The sequence below is a fragment of the Homo sapiens genome, chromosome 1 (genome assembly GCF_000001405.40).
Source record: "Homo sapiens chromosome 1, GRCh38.p14 Primary Assembly".
NCBI classification, from domain to species: domain Eukaryota; kingdom Metazoa; phylum Chordata; class Mammalia; order Primates; family Hominidae; genus Homo; species Homo sapiens.
Genome location: NC_000001.11, coordinates 242054402 through 242064876, shown reverse-complemented (window position 1 = coordinate 242064876; position 10475 = coordinate 242054402). Strand labels below are relative to the sequence as shown.

Genomic DNA, 10475 nt, shown 5'->3' with positions numbered 1-10475 from the left:
TCAGTCTTCTATTCAATGACTTCATCATGGGTATGGTGTTTCAGTTTAGGATAAAGAAGTTGTAGATATGGATAAAGGGAATGGTTGCACAACACTGAATATACTAGATGCCGCTGAACTGTACATTTAAACATGGTTAAAATGGTAAGTTTTATGATACGTATATTCTACCACCAAAAAAGGGCCAGGCTTAGATGTTTATATATTAGGGGTTTGGAGTCTCTAACATTTATTCACCCTCCAGGGCTCTAATTTATAAAACACCCACATAAGAAAATATGGACTTCACAAATCTCCATGGCACCTTACAAGCCCCGCAGCAGGGGCTGTCTGGGAAAGCAGAGGTGGAAAACATCACATCAACTTGAGGTCAGTGTGAGACCTCCCATCCCCTACTCTGGAACCAGATGGAGGAAGGCATGCGTGCAGACTGACCTGGAGAGATGAAATGGGGGTGGGCAGAACAGTCCGCCCATGAGCCTAGACCTTAAGTGCTGTCACATGCTCTCAGGCACATATCAAACCAAGAAAGCAGGCTAGGAGGGTAACACATCCTCCTGTATACAGGGAGCTATGAAATATCTGAGCTGAGCAAGTGATCCACAAGAGGACAGAATCAGTATTACCTTTACACAGTGACCTGGCTCAAATAATTCCAGGCTGTCATTAACCAGGCAAGTTCTTGTTTCTATCTGAGGTAGGTAAACTAGAGGGGGTGCAGTAGGAGTTGGGGATAATGGAATAGAAAGCATAGTAGTATTTCTTTTAACTCTGTTATAAATAAAAAGTAAGGCCAGGCGCGGTGACTCATGCCTGTAATCCCAGCACTTTGGGAGGCTGAGGCGGGTGGATCATGAGGTCAGGAGATTGAGACCATCCTGGCTAACACGGTGAAACCCCGTCTTGACTAAAAATACAAAAAATTAGCCGGGCGTGGTGGCACACGCCTGTAGTCCCAGCTACTCGGGAGGCTGAGGCAGGAGAATCGCTTGAACCCGGGAGGTGGAGGTTGCAGTGAGCCGAGATCGCACCCCTGCACTCCAGACTGAGCAACAAAGCGAGACTCCATCTCAAAAAAAAAAAAAAAAGTAAAACATAAATGCCCTTTCTCAGAGCCCAAATGTTAGGTGAAAAAAAGGTTTGTCATCTCAGTCATGTGCTGTGGACTTTAGCAGAGCAGTACACACAGGGTTGTTTATCCTTTCACTGTGCATGTTGTGTGCTTTTCAATTTTATAAGGTACCTGATCCACTCATATCATACTAGCTGCGAACAAGGCCACTGAATATCACACCAGGTGGCCGCCATGTCTGTGAAGGGCAGAAACTGGGGCAGCCAAACAGCTGGCAAAGGCCAGCTAGGAAGTACCGGATGCCCACTCCATACAGGGCTCCACACTTCAAAGACAAAATAAACAAATGGCAGGCTGCCTCACTAGTTATCCTCCCAAATAAAAAAAGTTACCCCTCCAGGGAATGTGTGCCTACACACCTAAGTACATGCACACAGCTACATGCAAAGGGGAAAGGCTGGGAAGGAACCAGATCCACCTCTGAACACCAGTTACTTCTGGGGAAGGAGCAGGTGAAGCCTACTGTCAGCATTACTCACCTTTTTAACTGATGAGCTTATATCAATTTTGGCATTTTTTTTTTTTTTAAAAAAGGCAATTTGCACTCCTTGGGTGATCACACAGGCCCTGCAAGAATGAACCACCACCCACCACCTGCACCACTTCCCATGAGGCCAATTAATGACTCCCTTCAACGCTCAGCCCTCCCAGTCCTGTGCCATGCAGGGGGCTACTGGCCTCCTGGGGTCCAGGCCAAACCCACCCCACAGATTCCTGGTGAAACCAGCATGTATCCAAGGACCTTTCCCCAACCTGGGCCATGTGCCCACTGGATAAACATGCCTGTGCTTGCTCCCCTAGGACAGAGACTCCCTTTTCTTACAGTTGGAATGAGGGATGGGGAGATTTGATGGTGTCCTATACAGGTTGGATGTTAATCTGATGTGGCGCTGTTGGAGAAGCTTGCCTGAGTCAGGTGCATTCTCAGCACATGGTGTGTGCTGCCTCTTCAAGCTGCAGAAGTCCCAGAAGGTAAGTGCTACTGCAACCCCCATGTACTGATGAGCAGAGGTCAGGTGATCTGCAGATAGCCAAGCAGCTGCTAAGTGGCCAACAGGCTGGATCTGCATCTCACTTGCAGAAGCCCTGCCTGGCTGCTGGGGCTGCCCTAGAGACTCGTCCTGCCACCTCCTCCTGTTCCCTCCACAGCTATGCCAGCTTCTACCCATAGCTGCACTCCAGGTGGGGAACACCTATGGATACACTAGGGCACAACTACTCAAACTCCAGCATGCAGAAGGGCCCCTGCTCCATGTTGTTCCTATATCCAAACCCAAGCTCGTCTAAGGCCTTCAGCAAATCCAAGCCTCCCTGAATTCCCTGCTGAGACCAAACTGAGCCCTATGACCCCCACTATACTCGTTAGCTGCCAGTCCCAGCCCCTGCTCCCTCCTGGGCCTGTGTCTATACAGTTCTGAAGTCCTACAAGAATGTTGAGATCCTAAGCTGACTCTCACCCAAGGTGGTAAACAACCAGGGGCCACCAGGGGTATAGAACATACCCAGACAGGTTCTGCTGCCTGCAGGCTTAGTGTCCTTCCCCCACTACCCGCCATGCTTGCCAGGCTGGAAGGGGGACTCCAGAAACTTGGGAAGCCCCGGCCTGCAGCTGGCATATGAAGAGGCCTAGAAGAACACCACTACTGTCCATGAAGCCTCCAGATGGAACCAGGCAATTGGGAAATACATGGATACCAAGCGTGACCCCCACTCAAACCCAGGTGGGAACTGCAGCAGTGACTTGCCCCTCTGCCACTCCAGCTGTACCACTGGAGGAAGGAGCATCGGACCCCATGTGAGAGTGGAGACACCAGGCATGGGAAGGTTCCAATAGTTACTGCAGGTGAACCTTCCCAACTGGATCCATGCAATGCCATCTCAGGTGGGTGCACACCTGGGCTGGGCAAGGACACCCCTCAGAGGGTGACAGCCACTGAGGAGGGCTGTCACAGAGCCCCCTTTTCCTGCTCTGAGAACAGGTTGGGGGAGTAGGGGGGGAACCTCTCCCACCTCCCAGCTGCTTCCAGGAGCTACTTCAAGATGAGGCACTCTCCTGCCTGCCTGTTCCCATTTGGCGCAATAGGCCGTTGCAAATATTCAGAGAACAAAAAGCAAGGAGCCTCACCTGTCCCCGACACATCAGAGGCAGATGGAATCGCTCAGGGTTCCTGGGGTAGAACCTACACATCTGCCCATCCCCAGGCTATGCTGGCTTCATCTTTGTGTGACGGGGGTGGGGGGAATTACCAAGAGAATATCACAGAGGCCATGGACGAGTTCTACAAGAGGCAGGTGAAGAGCACTGTCCTGATGGCGCCCAGCACCCAGCTCACACACATCTCTTACTTGACAGCTTCCCCAGAGCAGGCCGTGAAGTCCAGGCTCCTTGAGAAGCCTGGGGAGATTTTGCTGGGCTAAAGGGCCTATCCCCAAAGGTGCCACCCTCACCAGTCTCATCCTGACAGTCTTGGATTATTTTTGCCCTGAGATTTTGGAGTGCAGGACAGGGAGACAAGAGACAGTGTGCATTAGCCACCTTTCCAGAGAGCATCAGCCCTCCAAGACTGGGGCAGGTCAAACCTCCAACTTGGGCATTTTTCTCCTCACTGGTTGCCATTTGAGGGAAGCAGCACTTGTGAGCACCTGCCTGTCTCCTCAGGTCCTGCTCAGAAAACCCACCTGTGCCTTTGGAGAGAGACTGCCCCAAACACACAGCCCCAGCAACCGCATCTATGGCCCCCAGGGCTTAATCCCCTTCTACATGGGGTTCAGTGCATGTGAGTACACAGTGGGCTTGATTCCTGCCCACTAGTACCTGCCAGATACCCCATGCTCACCTCATTAGGAGAATGAGGCCACACGGACACACCCAGGCCATCATGGTGAGGAGTAGCTGGGGCCCTACTTGCTCACCCTTCATTGCTGGTTCAGGGCCAGCTGTCTGGCCACATTCCTACCCTGAGGTGGGACGTTGAGGACATTGTCCACTGGGCTCACTGGCCACTTTTAAAGTCCCAGCAACAGAGGGCCAGCTGGTCCCCTGGAAGTTCGGTACACAGGATAAGCCAAGGCTTGCCTTCAGGAACAGGTTTCCCACCACGTAGCTGCCCAAAGCCCAGGGCAGCCTCAAGTTCATGTGAAGCCTTCCTGCCATGTCCACAGCCCATGCTGACCCCTTCTGGAGCCACTGGAATGCTTGTTCCTGGGCATGAGATAAGCCCAAGACAGCTGCAGCCTTGCAGGACCACTATGCCCATCTGGCAGCACCCAGAGAGCTGACAGAAGTAGGAGGTGAAACCAGATGCTGTTAGGATGCTTTATCAGGTAAAATCACATACTATGAAAATGCTTTGAAGTGCAACAGGAAGAGATGTAAAGACATAAAGAAAAATTGCGTAGTGACACTTGGCTATCAGAACACACTAAAGAATCCACACTCCATCCCCCCTTTACCCAGAAAAGGAAACTTCTAGGCCACCTCCTCCTCAGCAGACTCCTCAAACTCCTCCGCCTTGGCCGTGGCATCCTGGTACTCTGCCATAAGATTTTTCAGGCTGCTCTCGGCCTCGGTAAATTCCATCTCATCCATGCCCTCACCCGTGTACCAGTGGAGAAAGGCCTTGTGCCTGAACATGGCTGTGAACTGCTCCATAGTGCGCTTGAACAGCTCCTGGATGGCCGTGTTATTACTGATTCCAGTGGCCGACATTTCTAGCCCCTTGGATGGGATGTCACACGTGGCTGTTTTTACATTGTGAGGGAGCCGATGAGCAAAGTGGCTACTGTTCTTTTGAAGATTGAGCATCTGCTCATCCACCTCCTTCATGGACATGTGACCTCTGAAAATGGCAGCCACCATTAGGTAGCAGCCATGACGGGGTCACAGGCAGCCATCATATTCTTAGCATCAAACACCTCCTGGATAAGCTCAGCCACCGTCAGGGCCTGGTACTGCCGGCTGCCCTGGCTGGTCAGTGGAGCAAAGCTAGGCATGAAGAAGTGCAGCCAGGGAAATGGGACCATGTTCATGGCCAGCTTCCGCAGGTCAGCATTCAACCGCCTGGGAAGTGCAGGCACGTGGTGACCCCACTCATAGTAGCAGATACCAGGTGATTCAAATCACCATAGGTGAGTCTGGGCAGTTGTAGGGTTCTGGGACAAATATTGTACAGTGCTTCGTTATCAATACAAAAGGTCTCATGTGCATTTTCTATGAGCTGGTGGATTGAGAGGATGGCATTATAGGGCTCCACCACGGCATCTGACACCTTGAGCGAGGGCAGGACGCTGAATGTGTTTATGATCCTGTCTGGGTATTCCTCCTGGATCTTACTGAGTAGAAGGGTACCCATCCCAGACCCAGTCCCCCCACCCAGGGAGTGGGCCAGCTGGAAACCCTGCAGGCAGTCACAGCTCTCAGCTTCCCGCCTCACAGTGTCCATCACTGACTCCATCAGCTCCGTGCCTTCTGTGTAGTACCCCTTGGCCCAGTTGTTCCCGGCCCCACTCTGACCTGTAAGACAGTATAGCCGGTCACTCAATGGCCAGGTATGCGGTCATCAGTGGTCACTGCCACATTGCAAAAAGGGCCAAGAAAGCACCATTCACCCTACAGGTGGAGCAGGTGGACCCCCTCCCCCAAAGTTACAGGACAGCAGCCTCCCGTTAGAAATTAAGTCAGTAAAACACCAAAAGCAATAGCAACAAAAGCCAAAATTGACAAATGGGATCTAATTAAACTAAAGAGCTGCTGCACAGCAGAAGAAACTGTCAGAGTGAGCAGACAACCTACAGAATGGGAGAAGGTTTTTACAATCTATCCTTCTGACAAAGGGCTAATATCCAGAATCTACAAAGAACTTAAGTTTACAAGAAAAAAACAACCCTGTCAAAAAGTGGATAAAGGATATGAATAGACACTTCAAGACATTTATGCAGCCAACAAACATGAAAAAGTGCTCATCACTGGTCAGAGAAATGCAAATCAAAACCACAATGAGCTGTCATCTCACGCCAGCTAGAATGGCAATCATTAAAAAGTCAGGAAACTACAGATGCTGGAGAGGATGTGGAGAAATAGGAACACTTTTACACCGTTGGTGGGAGTGTAAATCAGTCCAACCATTGTGAACGACAGTGTGGCGATTCCTCAAGGATCTAGAGCCAGAAAATACTATTTGACCCAGCAATCCCATTACTGGGTATATACCCAAAGATTATAAGTCATTCTATATAAACACATGCACACGCATGTTTATTGTGGCACTGTTCACAATAGCAAAGACTTGGAACCAACCCAAATGCCCATCAGTGATAGACTGGGTAAAGAATGTGGCACATATACACCATGGAATACTATGCAACCATAAAAAAGGATGAGTTCATGTCCTTTGCAGGGACATGGATGAAGCTGGAAACCATCATTCTCAGCAAACTAACACAAGAACGGAAAACCAAACACTGCATGTTCTCACTCATAAGCGGGAGTTGAACAATGAGAACACATGGACACAGGAAGGGGAACATCACACACTGGGGCCTGTGGGGGGTGGGGGGAAGGGGGGAGGGATAGCATTAGGAGAAATACCTAATGTAGATGACAGGTTTATGGGTGCAGCAAACCACCATGGCACATGCATTCCAGTGTAACAAACCTGCACATGTTCCCCAGAACTTAAAGTATAATTTAAAAAAAAAAAAGAAAGAGAAATTAAGGCAGGAGCCAAACCTGAGACAGCCTAACAACAGACCTCGCTGCAGGTGGCTCCTGCCCATTCCCAAGGAAAGCAGCAGCCACTGTTCCCACTCAGCTCCCTGCAGGGAGATTACATCAGCAGCTGCTCTCCTCTGGCAGACAGCTGGGCCCTCCTCCCAAAGCCCGTTGAGGAGAGGGAGATAGAGCGACTCAGAGGATAAGAGGGTGTTGAGGGGCCCTGGCTCCACAGTTCCCACAGCCATGACCTTGGGGCACTCCTTGACTTTGAGCTACCTGGCTAAGGAGCCGCACCCCAGTCTTTACCCACAACTCACCCAAGATGAAGTTCTCCGGCCTGAAGATCTGGCCGAAGGGCCCGGAGCGCACAGAGTCCAGGGTGCCCGGCTCCAGATCAGTTAGCACAGCGCGGGGCACATACCTGCTACCTGAGCGGGGCGGAAGGGCATCAGCGAGGGGAGGGCCGCTGTGCCCAGGAGGGCAGTGGGGGAAGGACGGGGGTCTCACCGCTGGCCTCATTGTAGTATACGTTGATACGCTTCAGCAGCAGGTCCCTGTCCCCGCGGTAGGTGCCAGCGGAGTCGATGGCATGTTCATCAGAGATCACCTCCCAGAACTGCGAGAGACAAGAGGGGCCAGAAAAGCCAGGACTGAGTCAGCACAGAGAGCAGGAGGCGCCCCAGCCCCTCTCCCACCTCCACCCCCACCCCCAGGCCACCGGGTCCCTGAGGGTCCGCCCTGGCCGCCTGGCCAGGCTCCCAGCTCCACCGGGTCCGGGGCAGGGAGCCCAGGGGCGGCAATGCAGGGGCGCCGCCCCCGCCACTGCCAGCATCTTCCCCGGCCACCCGGCAGGTCCGCGCTGGACCCTCAAGGGCCCCCCCACCGCCAACCTTGGCGCCGATCCGGTTCCCGCACTGCCCCGTCTGCGTGAGCACAATCTCCCTCATGGCCAAGGCGGGACTAGGGTGGCAGGAGAAAAGCGAGAAGGAGGAGCAGACAGACGCGCAATGACAGGGCCCGCGCTCCACCAACGCTGAAATAGCCCCGCGCCCACCTCCCCCAGCCTCGGATTGGGCTCCCAGAATAAGCAACAGCTTTACTTCCACACAGGTGTACCCACCTGTGAATCCCTTGGCGTGTAATGTTTGTTGGAGAGGTCAGGTGACCTTGCCGTGGTCCTTTCCACGTTGGGGAAAGCTGGTCAGCTGGAGAACTTCCTCCCACGTCTTTAGTAAGACTAAATCCCTAGCTGAGCTGAAACTGAATTTTCCTCCCCTGTGGGAGGGGAAGCCTCTTGTTTCCATATTCACAGATTGCCTTTGCACCTGTCCTAGATTGATGACATATTTTCGTAATTGATGAGTCCTTTCATCTATTAGGAGATCTGTGGTTAGGAAAGGCCTCCCATATGACTCAACAGGACTTAATTATAAGTTTTCCTTTGGAGCAGTTCAAACCCTCAGTAAGCTGTGGGTGTCAGGGATAGTCAGGCCTCTGACTTAGCTAGAGTCTTCTTTAGAGTTTGATTAGCCCTTTCACCTTTCCAGAGGACTGTGGCCTCCATGCAGAGTGAAGGTGATATTGGATTCCTAAAGCTGAGGATAGGTGTTGGGATACGTCTGCTGTGAAAGATGGGCCACTGTCACTTTTCAGGCTTTTAGATGACCCAAACTGAGGAATTATTTCTTCTGGTAAACACTTTTTCAGATAGGGTGGGGAATGCCTCGATCTAACCAGCGAAGGTATCAGTGAGCATTAGCAAATATTTGAATCCCCTGCAGAAAGGCTTCTGAGTAAATTAGAGTTGCCAGTCCTCACCTGGATAGGTTCCTTAATGTTGGACAGGTTTAACTGGAGGAGTAAAAAATTGCTGGCTGTTTGGTTATTTCAGCCACAGAGCTTACAGGGCTGAGTCATCTGTTGTAGTGTCTTGAAAAGATTTATCCCCGTAAACGAATGAGACATTAACTGAAATAAAGAATCCTTCTAGGATGAAACGAATCATGAAAGAGCTGAATTATTTTCCTGTGATTGGTACTTGGCATTAGTAATTTATTACCATCAGTCTGCCAGCCAGAGGGGCCCTGGACTAAACTGCAATCCCTGGCCCATTTTAGTTCTTCAGAGAATTCTCACCCAGCTCTATGTATGCTGACCAGCATGCCCATCAGCTTCATTGCCCCTTTCAGTGCGGTGGCCTTGGCTGCCGCATCTGTGAGGGCATTTCCTTTTACATGGTCAGTCTCTCTTTTGATGTCCTCTACAATGAATTATAGTCACTTTTTTTTTTTTTTGGCAGCAAAGCAGCATTCTAACAAACTCAAAACCTGAGTGATGTTGTCTAGAAAAGCCCTTGGTGGTCAGGAGTCCCTACCCATTCCAAATTGCAGCATAAGTATGAAACGCTAAAATATCACACTTGGAATCGGTGTAAATGTTAACTTTTAAATCCCTTCCCAACTGCAGGGCTGTAGTAAGTTCAGTTAACTCAGCTTTTTGAGCTGAGGTTGAGGCCAGCAAGGCTTGTGCCTTCTCTTGTGCTGACTAATAATAGCATATCTAGCCCTCCTGTTTTCCTGATGCATAAAACAACTTGCATTTGTTAACCCCTCTTCCTTGGGATGGGGAAGGGGCTCATCTCTCTTCAGTCTGGCCTGCTAAAATAAATTTGTTTCATAACCTGTGACATGGTTTGGCTGTATCCCCAGTCAAATCTTATGTTCAGTTGTAGCTCCCGTAATCACCATGTGTCATGGGAGGGACCCAGTGGGAGGTAATTGAATCAGGGGGTGGGTCTTTCCCATACTGGCCTCGTGACAGTGAATAAGCCTCATGAGATCTGATGGTTTGTTTTGTTTATTTGTTTGTTTGTTTGTTTTTGAGACACAGTCTTGCTCTATTGCCCAGGCTGGAGTGCAGTGGTACAATCTCAGCTCAGTGCAATCTCTGTCTCCTGGGTTCAAGCAATTCTCCTGTCTCAGCCTCCTGAGTAGCTGGGATTACAGACGCCCACCACCATGCCTAGCTAATTTTTGTATTTTTAGTGGAGACAGGGTTTCACCATGTTGGTCAGGCTGGTCTCAAACTCCTAACTTCAGGTGATCCACCCACCTCGGCCTCCCAGAGTGCTGGGATTACAGCTGATGGTTTTATAAAGGGGAGTTTCCCTACGCAAGCTCTTTTGCCTGCTGCCATGTAAGAGATGTGACTTTGCTCCCCATTTGCCTTCTGCCATGATTTCGAGGCCTCCCCAGCCATGTGGAACTGTGAGTCAATTAAACCTCTTTCCTTTATAAATTACCCAGCCTTAGGTATGTCTTTATTAGCAACATGAGAACAGACTAATACAACCTGTATGCCAGAAAGGCTGGGAGCACCTATGGACTCTGGCAGATAAGTAGCTGGGTTTATGGTTTGGCAGACTTTAAGGGTTATGTCTGGAGTGTCTAGCAATAAGGCCTGATACTTTAATAAATGTTCCCCTATTATCCACTGGTGCCCTTTAGCTTCTAGGACCACCTTCCCTTGGTGTGGGGTCAAAAACCTTTAGGGGCTATTCTAATGTTAGTTTATTAGCTTTGCCTACTAGAAAAGTTATGGCAGCAACAGCTCTAAGACATCCAGGCCACT

General features: G+C 50.5%; 1 pseudogene, besides 2 other annotated features; it reads right to left on the bottom strand.

Moving 5' to 3' along the window:
- Positions 4157 to 4658: an enhancer, noted in NCBI's record as "H3K4me1 hESC enhancer chr1:242223521-242224022 (GRCh37/hg19 assembly coordinates)". NCBI's record gives its function as "activates a minimal SCP1, AML or CMV promoter by ChIP-STARR-seq in primed H9 embryonic stem cells {active_cell/tissue: H9 hESC(primed)}" and the evidence as "EXISTENCE:reporter gene assay evidence [ECO:0000049][PMID:30033119]".
- On the bottom strand, positions 4431 to 7852 carry TUBB8P6 (tubulin beta 8 class VIII pseudogene 6; annotated as a pseudogene).
- Positions 6795 to 7535: an enhancer, noted in NCBI's record as "H3K27ac-H3K4me1 hESC enhancer chr1:242220644-242221384 (GRCh37/hg19 assembly coordinates)". NCBI's record gives its function as "activates a minimal SCP1, AML or CMV promoter by ChIP-STARR-seq in naive H9 embryonic stem cells {active_cell/tissue: H9 hESC(naive)}" and the evidence as "EXISTENCE:reporter gene assay evidence [ECO:0000049][PMID:30033119]".